The sequence below is a fragment of the Homo sapiens genome, chromosome 10 (assembly GCF_000001405.40).
Source record: "Homo sapiens chromosome 10, GRCh38.p14 Primary Assembly".
NCBI lineage: Eukaryota > Metazoa > Chordata > Mammalia > Primates > Hominidae > Homo > Homo sapiens.
Window position 1 is genome coordinate 4,689,996 of NC_000010.11, and position 14,785 is coordinate 4,704,780.

A 14,785-nucleotide genomic window follows, 5' to 3' on the forward strand; every position below is an offset into this window, starting at 1 on the left:
AAAAATACAAGTTGGTTGATTTCAATATTTACCTCGTGGAAGTTTATTTGAAAACTACCACATTTTATGGTAAATGTAGTCTCAACAATAAAAATAAAAGAAAGGTTGAGGAATTAATACTTATTTGATATATTAAATAAAATAGTGAATATTCTTTATCTCTAAATATTCTACAACTTCCAAGAAAGTCTATGTTTTTACATTTAAGTTGTCCAAATAGATCAAGCAATATGTTATCCTTTGGATTCTCTATTACTAATCTAAAGTTTAGAGAATAGTTTGGTGCTTTAGGAAAAAGTTGGTATTTTCATGACACCATTATTATTAGAGTAGAAAATATGAAATATAGAAGAAAACATTTATGATATTTAGAGCTCAACTGAACATAGTCACATGCCTGACAGTTGGCCTGATTTTCCCACCACTAGGATTTTTTTGGAGTGGGGGTGGAATGCACACCTCTCCTAGAATTCAGATTTGAGACGCAAAGGGAAGAAAAATGAGGCAGGAAGACATCTCACTATTTTAGGGATTTAAAATGAATTTTACCTTTTTTCATGATGTCAGAAGCAAGTTGATACTTTATACATATTTTCTCCTTTCTCACTGATTATTCCTATGTAAGGATACGTCTTAAAGCTGTAATGAAATGTATATTACAGGGATATGAATGAGAGTGATTAGATTATATGTAGAATGAATATCAAAAATCAATTCTTTTCTGAAGCACTCCATTGCCTGAGTTCTTCTATTTCAGCTTAATCGGCCATAGTGGGTTTATCCTGTAGCAGGAAAGAATTCATTCTCCTTTTTTTAATCTTGGATTAAATCTATTTTCTGCAAGACAGCCTATATCAGGTTAGATGGCCCTGAAATAAATTATTCCCACAGGTAAAATTAATAGACACTAGAAGAAAAAGAATAATTTTACTATAATTTTGGGGAAATGACCACTATTGTTACTATTGAAGGAAAGGTGATGCAGGATTGAGATACACATGCACACATACATGCATGCATGTACATACATGATCACAGGTACATATGCACACAAACATGTACACACATATGCACACACATATATTCACATATACGCACATATGCTCACACACTCAAACTGACTCAGGCACACACACACATACACACACGAATATTTCTTTAACTCCTTGAGTCCCTTAAATATTAATATCATAACTATAAGAATATTTTAATATTTACCTGGCATTTTGCTTGGTAAATTCCCATTATAAAATAAAAATTTACAAATAAAATGTGAAACAAATTCTGTGATTTTACATTTGTATATAAATATGATCCACAAAAAGATCAGAGATTATAGAGGACCATGCTTTTAGAAGATAAAGAAAGATGGGAATCAAAGTATTTTGAAGCTACCAAAGACACGGAGGGAGTGAAATTACCTAGACACATTTTTTAATATGTATTCTGAATCACCAAGATATTTACCAGCTGAAAGTCACCAAGTCAGCCCAGCCCACACCGAAGGCAGCAGAAACACGTGGTGAGCAGAACCTAAGCCAAGCTACTAAATTCTGAGTGGTTTCTTATATAGCAACAGATAAATGGAACATATGGAAAAGCAAATTTTAACAATCAAGCAGGTGTGAACTTCGTCATTCAGAATAGATGGGGTGACATCTGCCAGCCCAAGGGGAATCTCCAACACCTGCCCACTGCCAGTGTTTTCATTTGTGGCTCCTGGGGCTTTTGGAGTCCCAAAAGAGGCAGGACTAGTATCTTTTCTCCTTAACGCTTTCAGACTTTCCTCTAGGAGCACCAGGTAACGTGTGCAAAACAAAACAAATCAAAACAAACAAACAAAAAAATCAAAGCTGTTATCTTAGCTATATCACTGTTAATCTTTCTAAAGGGAGAAAAACTAAACAACAAACCGTTCAGTAAAACAAATAACATGCTCCAGCCTATGTCTGTGTTAAAGGAGGGCTAGAAGGAGAAGCTAGGGAGTTGTTCAGCATTCCTAACAGATGAGTAGGTTTTGGGGAAATGGACTTGCCACTGCATAGCTCTCTTTATCCACAATTTAGCGAAGGGAAGGGAAGGGGAAGGGGAAGGAGAAGGGGAACGGGAAGGGAGAAGGGAGAAGGATGGAGCGTGGGGGGAAGGAAGGACAAGGGAGGAAGGAAGGAAGGAAGGTAGGTGAAGGGAAGGAAGGAAGGAAGGAAGGAAGGAAGGAAGGAAGGTAGGTGAAGGGAAGGAAGGAAGGAAGGAAGGAAGGAAGGAAGGGAGGTAGGTGAAGGGAAGGAAGGAAGGAAGGAAGGAAGGTGAAGGAAGGAAGGAAGGCATGCAGGCAGTATAAATGGCTATATAAAGTTTATGTGTATGACTATGTTTGGATGACAGAAACACCAATGTGAGTAAGGACTTAGACATTGTCAGAGTAGAGTTTCATAAATTATTGCAATCATGACCGTGATATACATATAATATAGATGTACATACAGGCAATTTTCTGTAAATAGCCAGATAGCAAACATTTTAGGCTTTACAGAGCATACGGTCTCTGTCACAGCTACTCAACCAGGCCATTCTAGAGCATGAGTTGCCATAGATAGCAGACACATGAGTAGGTATGGCTATGTTTCAATAACACTTTATTTACAAACACAGAGAGTGGGCAGAATCTATCCCTCGGGCCATAATTGGCAGATTCCTTTTCTAGTTAACTACGTCGGTACAGTGTATAATGACCACGATGCACGCTTTGTTAATTGGCATTCACACATGATACTCCTCAGCAGACAACTTCCAATTAAATAAAACAGCAAAATCATGCATTTTGTTTAATATTATGCAATTGTTTTACATACAACCATGTACCTCTTAACGCTCTTCAAAAAATGGGCCACAAAATCCTTTTAGGTGAAAGTTCATTCATCTAGCTGAGTCCTCTCAGTCCTCCATTGATATCCTGTAACTTAAATACAGAGATATAAAGTTAATTATTATTAATATATTTTATTTTAAATTGTATAAAAATGAAAGAAAGGAATAAAAGGAAAGAGTTGGTTAATATATACACAAATCAACATAAGGAAATATATATATATATATATATATTTTGAGATGGAGTCTCACTCTGTTGCTAGGCTGGAGTGCAGTGGTGAGATCTTGGCTCACGGCAACCTCTGACTCCTTGGTTCAAGCAATTCTCCTGTCTCAGCCTCCTGAGTAGCTGGGATTACAGGCACGCGCCACCACACCCAGCTAATTTTTGTATTTTTAGTAGAGAATGGGTTTCACCATGTTGGCCAGGATGGTCTCAATCTCCTGACCCTGTGATTCGCCCTCCCCAGCGTTCCAAAGTGCTGGGATTACAGGCACAAGCCACTGCATCTGGCCAGGAAAAATATATTCAACACTGTTCAAGTCCTTCTTTCTGCCACTGCTCACATGATCATAGTTGATAATGGTAACTTGCTTCTTCCACAGCCCCTTTCATATTCTCTTTTCTCCTGGAAAGCACCATAGCTAACTGTGGCTCCCTGCCTTGTAGAATGGCTGGTTTCTTCATTTTAGAAGGTTCTACACCGTTAGGAGGCCTGCCTGTATTGAGTTGTAGCATTGTATTGAAAAATTAAACAACAGCCGGTTTTATAGAACATGGAAGTAATGACAAGCACCCCAGGTGATTTCATAATTTCAAACACACATCTACTTATCCTCTTTGGATATAAACCCAGCATTTCCTTGACCATAGGAAGGAATTATTGGTTAATTGAGCAGCATTGACCAGCACTTCCTTGACGACCTCTACTACTCTAGTAGAGGAACACTCTTCTTGGCCTGTTGCTTCACTGGCATGAGATCCCAAAGGGGCCTGGTGTCCATCTGCTATGGGCTAAATTGCATCTACTCCAAACTAATATGTTGAAGCTCTTACCTCCAGCATGATGGTATTTGGAATAAGGATGTAATTAAGGGTAAATTAGGTTATAATGGTGGAGCTCTGATCTGATAAGATTAGCGTTCTCATAAGAAGAAACACCGAATCTCTCTCTCTCTTAACATCTCTGTCTCTCTATCTCTCTGTCCCCCTGCACTATGTGAGGACACAGGGAGAAGCTGGCCATCCATCAGCCAGGAGAGAGCTGTCACCAGAGATTAAATCAGCAAGAACTCTGACCTTGGACTTCCAGCCTCTAGAACTGTGAGAAATACTTGTCTGTTGCTTAAGGCACGTTGTCTGTGGTTTGTTATGGAAACCCAAGCTAAGAGCCTGTCTTAAATCCCAGGTTAATGACAGTATCACAATCCCATACCTCTTTTGGGGACCAGAAGATCCCAATATCACAGGAAGAAGAAGCAAAATGTCTTGCCAGTGAATCGCTAGGAGCAATAATGAGATAAATCACTCCCATTTTCACCCCTTCAATCTTGGACCCATGGATTCTAGCTTTGGAAAAAACTAATATATTGGTCATTGATCTAGAGTGTACAGCACATCCTGAAAAATATTATTCCGGTTCTAGGAGGCATTGCCACCAAGACAGAAGCATCACTTAATCTTCACAAAGAAACATACACTATAGTTTGGGTATTTGACCTCTCCAAGCCTCGTGTTGAAATTTGATGGAACAAATGTTGGAGGTGGGGCCTAATTAGAAGTGTTAGGGATCAAGATCCCTCATGAATGACTGGGTGCTGTCCTCATGATAATGAGTGAATTTTCACTCTGTTAATTCCTGCAAGAGTTCTCCTGAGAGCTGGTTGTTGAAAAGAGCCTGGTGCCTTCCTCCCATCTCTTTCCTCCTCTCTCACCATTGAAGCTTTACCTCCTTTGCCTTCCACCAGGACTGGGAGCAGCCTGAGGCCCCCACCAGATACAGGTGCCGGCACCATGCTACTTGCCAGCCTGCAGGACCATGAGCCAAATAAACCTTTTAAAAAATAATAATAATTTACCCAGTCTCAGCTATTCCTTTATAGCAACAAAAATGAACAACAACAGCATCCCATCAGATCTCTCAGGCCAGCTGCTTCTGGGTGATGGGTAACATGCACATGCCAATGAATTTCATGAGAATGAGCCCAACAGTATAATATACTTTCCCAAAGAAAAATAAAGCACGTATTTGAAAATGCCATATACCTCATTTTACATTTCTACATTATCATATTAATACGAGCTCCCTATGAGACATCAGGAAATTCTGGAAAAGCACCATGAAATAATTTGAAATTTAGTTATGAAAATTGGTATTTTATTCCCTTCAGTTGGAGGTTAAATAGATATCTAGTATACAAACAACTTCTCTTTGACATATAGCTTAGGTTTAACAGTTCATCCTTAGGCCCATTATGGGATTCTCAACTATTCCACAATTCATAATACCATCATATTCTGATGGCTGCAAAGACATATTCTGTTGTCACTTTCCACACACCAGCCTCTGCTGTTCATTGTGCATTCTGTGGCTTACCAAAGAGACCACTTTAATAAAAGAAGTGTGTTGAGTGAATGAAAATGAAGTGAACTGAGTCTGAGTTTCATATCCAGAAAAAAATACCTAGAATACAAATTTTAAAACATCACATGGCCAGAAAGACCCTATATTAAATTCAGTAGTGACCCCAAGAAGGGCTCTGAAGGCCAAGAACTCTTCACTCAGGGCTATAATGGGATGCAGAGTCATTTTATGTAAGATGTGCTGGCCTGGGAGTCAGAAGGCCTCTGTTTAAGATCTGCAAATTAATTTTGCCAAATCCTGACTCTCCATCTACAAAAGAGAAATAAGTAATAGCAGCCTTTCTTCCAGTTTCAGAAAAGTTCAAATAGACATGAGATGTTTGAACGTTGTTTTCAGAGTATGTAAGGGTCTCGCATCTGGCTTGGGCTGGGGGTCTGGGGACAAAGAGCAAGGATTGAGTAGGGCACAGCCAACCTAGAGCTGCCGGCAGATCACAGGAGGGGCACAAGTGAAGCCACAGAATGTGAAGACTTAAACATGAGACTGAATCAAATTCAAAGTGAAGGGGCTGTCACCCAGACCACAGTTAGGGAGGATTGGAAGAGACACTGATTGATCTGGAGAGAGAATGGGGGTTTGATAGGGCCGTGATTGGTATCTCTGAGTGGTGAGCAGCTGTTAAGGTACCAGCCTGGTGCAGGCATTGGATGCGAGCAGCTGATAAAGCACTAATTTTTCTCCCAACGAGATGCCCCATCCTCTTGTTTCCCATGCTAACCACAGGTCCATTTAACGAGCCACCAATTCCGTCATTTACACAGTCCTGTAAAACTCATGTTTGTCTTGTATATGTAGTGGGAAAATCTATCCTGAATTCTCCTGTTAATTGACTCAATTTTCTAGTTCATTTTGCTGGCATCAAACTGGCCCCTTTGAACTATTATGCTGGATTTGGTTCTGCAGAAGCTTCCCTAAAGCACACTGGAACCTTGAAATCAGAGGCCACCATGAGGTGTGAAATTACAACAGCTGAAGTTGTAGGACACTCTCAGATAATGTCATTTCATGGTTTAATAAATAATATAAAAATATCCAAATCCTTTACAAGATAACTGCTAGAACATTTCATTCTAAATTCTATTTTTGACTTAAAATGTTACGATGCTCTCTCATTTTGTCTCCTGAAGTTGAAAGAGAAAAATATACCTACATGGAGAATTCTTAATAGTAACACAGCCAAGAATAAGATGCTGAATGAATAGATTTACAGTATATAAATATGTGTGTGTATATTATATACATACATACATAGATACACACATACATGTGAGAGTGTGTGTATGTTTACATAAATAACACATGGGTGCACATTTTATATATACGTAGAGATAAATATAATAGCCATAGGTAGATACAGATAGAGCTGTAATAGCTGTAGATACAGAACAAAACCAAAATAAAACAGGCACACCACTGCTCATGGGTTAATGTCAAAGACACACATCAGTAATTCCTATTCACTTAACATAAATGTTTCTCAAATAGATGTGCTCTTTTCCATTCTAAATAATAGTGAGATAGTAGCTACTAGGGCATGGATGAGGGAGAGAAAGGAGCAGAAGTGGGCTCCCAAGTTTGAAATTCGGATGTTTTGCCAATAGAAATGGAGAATGCAGAAGGGAAAGCTGTCTGAGGAGGATGGGCAAGGGCCAGAAGAGCATGAGAATGGCATGAGGGTGACTGTTTTGTGAAATACAGTTTCACGTTAAATAAATCTAAGGTAATTTATCTCAAGCAGAAGGCCTATTAAAAAAATGCTAAAAGAACTAAAGTGCAATTATGCCAGAAGGAATCTTCAAAATCCCGGTGTGAAGGAACAGCAACAAAAATAGCAAATATCATCCAGGCTTGGTGGCTCATGCCTGTAATCCCAGCACTTTGGGAGGCTGAGGTGGGAGGAACCCAGAAGCCCAGGAGTTCGAGACCAGCCTGGTCACCATGGCAAAATCCCATGTCTACAAAAAATACAAAAAAAAAAAAAAAATAGGTGGGCATGGTGATATGTGCCTGTAGTCCCAGCTACTTGGGAGACTGAGGCAGGAGGATTCCTAGAGCCCAGGAGGTTGAAGCTGCAGTGAGCCGAGATCGCACCCCCCTGCATTCCAGCCGGGGGGACAGAGCCAGACCCTCTCTCAAACAAAACAAAACAAAACAAAACAAAACAAAACAAATAGTAAATATTTGGGTCAAAGTAATAGAATATTTTTCTACTGCTAGAAAGCTGTGAAATATACATGACCTTAGGAAACAAAAGTTCTAATCTTGTCTGGGGCAGTTTAATATAGATAGATAGATGATAGATAGATAGATAGATAGATAGATAGATAGATAGATAGATAGATAGATATAGATAGATAGATAACTGATAGATAAATAGACAGATGTAATGCACATGGCAACTGTAATAAAAAGAGGAGGCCAAATGATTCTATTTGGTTGCAAGTCTGCTATGTTGGGAGGTAAAATAATAACTGAAAGAAAATCGTGACATTAGACAGGTATATTTTTATTTCTTGATCAACCACTTAAAATAGTAAAAAGAGATATAGCTAAAACACAGCACATGTTAAATGAAATATTTAAAAGTATGTATAAAAGCAAAAAAATGAAGGCAAGTATATTACTTGATGTTGACTCTCATAGCAGAATATCACAGACTGGGTGGATTAAACAACAAAAGACATTTAGTTTCTCACTGTTCTGAGGGCCAGAAATCCATAATCCAGATACTAGCAGCTGCGGTTTCTGGCAAGCCTTCTCTTCCTTCCCTGCAGACAGACACCTTCTTGCTGTGTCCTCACATGGCTTCTTCTCTGTGTGTGCACAGAGAGACAGTGCTGGGTTTTTTTTCCTCTTCTTGCATGGATACCAGTCCTATTGGACTAGAGCCTCACCTTTATAAACTAATGTAACTTTAATTATTTCCATAAAGTCCCTAACCTTCAATATAGTAGCAATGGAAATTACAGCCTGAGTATATGAATCTGAGGAAGATTCAAACCTTCAGTCCATGATAATAAGGAAGAACCAGAGAAATAAAAAAATAAAAAATGACAATCAGAAAATAATAAAAATGTTAGAATTAAATCTAACCAAATCAGTGATTACATTAAATTTAAATAATCTAAACACACCAAATCAAAAATAAAGATTGACAAATCGAATTAAAACAAACAAACAAAAAGACTTGACTGTATGGTGGTAAGGTATCTGCAAGAAACCCACTGTAAATATAGTGATATAGATAGGTCTCAGAAATAAATTGGCACCTTTAATGTCAATTCATTTTTGACAAAGGTGCCAAAAACACACAATGGGAAAAGGACAGTATCTTCAATAAACGTTGTTTGAAAAACTGAATATTCACATGCAGAACAATAAAACTAGATCCTTATCTCACACCATATACAAAAATCAACTGAAAATGGATTAAAGATTTTAACATCAAACCTGAAACTAAAACTACTAGAAAAAAACATATTGGAAAAGCTCCATGATATTGGTCTGGGTAGAGATTTTTGAATATGACTCCAAAAGCACAGGCAACAATAGCAAAAATAAACAGATAAAATTACATCAAACTAAAAACTTCTGTACAGTGAAGAAAACAGCAAACAGAATGAAGAGATGACTTATAGAATGAGAGAAAATATTTGCAAACTCTACATGTAACAAGGGTTTAATATCAAAAATATATAAGAAATCCAAACAACTCAAGAGTGGCCCAATTAAAATTGAGCAAAGAACCTGAATATACATTTCTTCAAAGAAGAAATACAAATGGCAAACAGATATATATAAAAAAAAGCTCAACATCACTGATTACTAAAGAAATGCAAAATAAAACCACAAGACATAAAACCTCATACCTGTTTGAATGGTTATTGTCAAAAATACAAAAGATGACAAGTGTTGGCAAAGATATGGAGAAAATGGAACCCTTGTACACTGTTGGTAAGACTGTAAATTAGTACAGCCATTATGGAAAACAGTATGGAGGTTCCAGAAAAAATTAAAAATAGAACTATTATATGATCTAGCAATCCCATTGCTGGGTTTGCATATCCAAAGGAGATGAAATCAATATCTCGAAAATATAGCTGCATTACCATGTCCATTGTGGCAATATTCAGAGTAGCTAAGATACAGAATCAACCTAAGGGTTCATCAACAATAGTTGGATAAAGAAAATGTGTGATATATACACAATGAATATTATTCAGCAGTAAAACAAAGGGAAGCCTTTCATTTTTGCAACATGGAAGAAACTGGAGAACATTATGTTGGATGAAATACTCTGTACTTAAAAGTCACTAAAAGAGTAGATTTTAAATGTTCTCATCATAAAAAATGTTAATTAGCTCAATTTAACCATTCTACCATGAATTCATAGCTCAAAACATCACGTTATAAAACATAAATATATACAACTTTCATTTGTCAATAAAAAAGTAATAAATTTTAAAAATAAATAAAATGAAACTAACAAAAATAAAATATTTAGGTGTTAAAATTATGTGTGGGATTGGTATATTCAGAACAACAAAACACTGATGACAGAATAAATGAAGACCTACCTAAATGGAGAGATATACTATAGATATGAATCTGATGACCTCATTTTAGAAAGTTAATTGGCCCTAAATGGATCTAGATTTAATGCAAATACATTTAATATGATACAAAAACAATTAAAATTCCATCAGGATGCTTTTTAGATATTAAAGAGCTGATCCTCAAATTTATATAAAAAGGGAAATGAAGTAAAGTAGTTAAACTTCTTTTAAAAAAGAAGAACAAATTTGGAGGAACCACTTCACCTGATTTGAAACTTACCATAAATCGACATTATCAAAGAGAGTACTTAAAAAATAGTGGACCTCCAAAAATCCTCTCCTCCAAAATAACAGTAAGATCACTGGCAAAGAAAAAAAAAATCATTGCAATCAGCCTTTTCAGAACTGTAGAAATAAACAAAAGACTTGCAGCATTCTCCAGAGTGTTTATTCCAGAAAAAGGCTGACTCTTCATAAAAGCTTTGTGACATTTAAACTTGCCCTATTCGCATCCTCCTCTCCCTAGTTTCTTGATACTCTTGACAACCAGAAGCATAAGCAGTATGGCAGTTTTAAAAATCAGAAGCCTGGCAGTCTCTGGAAGAGGAAGACCATCTTCGGATTACCCTGAAATTCCCTATTCCAGGAGAATTGAAACCATTTGTCCTGTCTAACAGCAACCAAGAAAAGCATCTTTGTCAGGCCTTATCTTTATTTGACCTCAGAGCTCAGTTAGTGAGAAATGCCCTGTGTTATTTGAAAAAAAAAAAAAAAAAAAAGCAAAAATAAGAATAGTGCCTGAGGTAGCAATGATAATTGAGGCAAATAAGAATCTGTCCAAAAGCCTAAAAAATATATATAGGGAATTAGTTGTACCTTAAGGACTTTGAAAAGCTCTACCTCACCCTTGGAAATCTAGATTGTGCCCCTGTACAGGGCTAAGTGTGTGCCAGGAAAGACCTCAGAACACCTCAACCTCTCACTTCTGGCCGTCCTTGAGACTCCATTCAAACAAGAAATGAAGAGTGAGGCAGATTTGTGAACTGCTGGAAAGTGAAGGCATAACCCAACACATGCACCGAACTTCTCAGTAGAGGGTGAGAGACTTACTGGTTCAAGGAATTTCAGGAAATTTGTGACCTGTCATTAGCTCATCAACAAACTGAGTGGAGGCCTTAGTGATTGCACATGGCAAAGAATAGAGACTATGGAATTCGTTCTGGGAAGTCACTAAACAAACAAAGAGCGACAACAGCAATAACAAAAGAGACAATAATAAACCACAGGGAGGAAGGGAAAATCCTGTTGATAGATTTGTTGAACAATATTTAAAATTCTAGTTTTCAACAAAAAATTATAAGACATTTAACAAAGGAAGGTACAGCTGATTTATAATACCCTCTATCCAAATCAGCAGAATGCATTCTTCTTAAGTACATGTAAACATTATCCAGGATAGACAATATGGTAAGCATAAATTATACATCGGTAAGTTTAAAAGGATCAAAACCATTCAAAGTTTATTCTACAATCAAAATGAAATACAATTAAAAATCAATAACAGAAATAAATCAGAAAAATTTATAAATTTGCAGTGTGCAGAGATTAACACATTCCTAAATAATTAATACATCAAAGAAGAAATCCCAAGGGAAGCTATGAAATATATTGAGATTCATGAAAACAAAAACACAATATACCACAGCATATGGAATGTAGTGAAAACAGTACTCAGTGGAATATATATTGCTGTTATGCCAATATTTTAAAAAGAAAAATAAAACATCAATAACAACGTTCCACCTTAAGAAACTAGAAAAGGAAGACTAAACTAAACCCAACCCATGCAAAATAAAGGAAATGAGAACCATTAAAGTGAAAATAAATAAAACAAGTAATAGCAATCAAATAGAGGTAACCAACAAAGCCAAAAACTTTTGAAGTCAACAAAATGTATTAACCTTTATCTAAATTGGCCAAAACTATCTTTATAAAGAATAAATTTGGAATACTGACATTTCTCAATTTCAAAACTTATTAAGAGACCACAGTAATGAAGACAGGCTGGGCATACAGAGCAATGTATTAGAATTAAAAGTCTAGAAATAACCCTTTGCATTTATGGTAAAGTGACTATTTTTACAAGGGTAACAGGACAAGTCGAGGGTAAAGAACAGCATTTTCAACAAATGATGTGAAAAAAATCCTTCAATTGTGAATGGGTAAACAAACTGGTTAATGTATACAATAGAATAGGTACAATTCAGCAACAAAAAGGAATAGACTACTAAGATATTCATCAACTTGGTTGGATTTCAAATGCATTATGTCAATGGAAAGAAGCCAGATCTAAAAGGCTACATGCTATATAACTCTATTCATATGTCATTCTGGAAAAGACAAAATTATAGGGACAAATGGGCATGTGGTTTGACTACAAATGTCAGTACTAGAAGATTGTATGGGGGTAAGGAACTCTTTTTTATCTTGATTATGGTGGTGATTACATGACTATGCATCAGGATTTATCAAATTAGACACAAAAGAAAAGTGAATTGTACTGTCCATAAATTTAAAATTGCATTAAAATAATATAAAATACTAAAAAATTGATCATTTAACTATGGTCATTCAGGAAAAAAAACCTGACTTTTAATGTGATAGAATTCTTGATTATTTTACATATAATTTGCCACAATTACCTTTTATATGATTTCTCAAAGAGAAAGGATGTATTCACGTTGAAAGATTCATTAAAGATAAATGATCATCTTAGAAAACAACTACTTTAAATCAGTATATGTCTGGAATAATGTGACCCCTTTATGTCTTCTATATATTCTATAATATTTTTATCTATGTACATATTCTGGTTTCCATTTTGGGGAATCTGAATCAATAGATGTGCAGAACAATATCCCATCCTAATTGATAGTTTGAATAAGTAACTAAGTCATGGATTTTGAAGCCACTTCAAGGGAAGTAACTTGTTTAATGGACCACTCTTAGTGATATCGAGAATCAACTCCATCTTCTGTTAATGGATTTCATATTAATATTTCATTTCTACAACAGCTTAAAATTATTGCCTTTGTTGCCCAAATGCCAATTAAGTGCTTCCTGCATTTAAATCAAGACCAAGCCCACCAAGAAGCTGACAACTGAAATTTCATGGGGCGGGAGAGGGATAGAGGGATAGAAGCAGAATAGATTTTCTTTTTTTTTTTTTTTTTTTTTGAGACAGAGTTTCACTCTCGTTGCCCAGGCTGGAGTAGAATGGTGCAATCTCAGCTCACTGCAACCTCCGCCACCTGGGTTCAAGTGATTCTCCTGCCTCAGCCTCCCGAAGAGCTGGGATTACAGGCACCCACCACCATGCCCAGCTAATTTTGTATTTTTAGTAGAGATGGGGTTTCTCCATGTTGGTCAGGCTAGTCTCGAACTCCTGACCTCAGGTGATCCACCCGAGACAGCCTCCCAAAGTGCTGGGATTACAGGTGTGAGCCACCGCTCCCAGCCAAATAGATTTTACTCATGGTATCATGAACACAGCCCACTTCTCACACAGCCAAGTCTCCTGGTTTATGTAATTGACTAAGTTTTAGAAGCAACAGAAGGATACTTTGTGAGCAAATCCCAAGTTGAGTTAAGGATAATGGTATTTATCTGTTTCTTAAATTTCTCTATATTGATCATAAATTGCTTCAGTAACTTTCCTAAATTTATATTTGTCAGGTGTCTTGTTTGCCTGAATTTGAGAAGTATTTACCCAACTGTTACAGACCCCAAAGGCCATGGTTTACGAAGCATGACTTACAACAAATTTACTTCCAGTTCAGCCTCAATTTCGAATTTTAATATACTATTTACGATTAGTATTAGATGTATCTTTAGTAAAATAAGGAGGATTTCAGATTTTAAAATTTTGAGATTAACAATTTAAAAAGGACAAAGGAGAAAAGTCACTGCTGAGTGTTTTTACAAATGCTCGTCTAAACAGTTCCTGTTATTTCCCTTGTCCATTTTGAATCATATCCTGTGATTCAAGTTCAGGCATAATAGTTTTGCACAGCTCTTATGCCATTGAGAATCGCCATGTAATGCTGTTTTTACAGCACTGCAAGCAGTCTGAAGTAACACAGACATCTGCATCTACAGCAAGTTGAGGAATACCTGTGAATGCTGCCAAGCCTCCTGTAGAATAGATTAAGGGTGTATACTTTCAAGAGGCAGTTAGAGCACAATTGGCAAGCATGAGGCAGTACACTGGGAGGAAGCTGAGATTATGCACAGTTGCACACAATGATTCATAAACAGTATGTGAGGCTCAGTTGGCATGGTCTTCTGGCTATAGCAAGCCATGCTCTTCAAAGCTTATCTGTGGTCAATCTCTGATATAGACTGACCAAACTATTTCCTGCAAATTTTGCCATGAACCACAGGGTGAAGATGAATAAGCAATAAAGAGCTTGGAAAGCTTACTCAGGTGTCTCCATAGAAATAGTCTAAAAGGATCTAGAAACTAAAGGAATATTGTTTTATCACTACCAATGATAAAACTGAGTATGTAAAAATGAAAGGTTTAAAAACCATTGAAACCATTAGGTAAATTTGATCACCAACTAAGAGGCTACAGTAATGAAGACAGAATAGATTTTTTTTTTTTTTTTTTTTTTGAGACGGAGTTTCACTCTTGTTGCCCAGGCTGGAGTACAATGG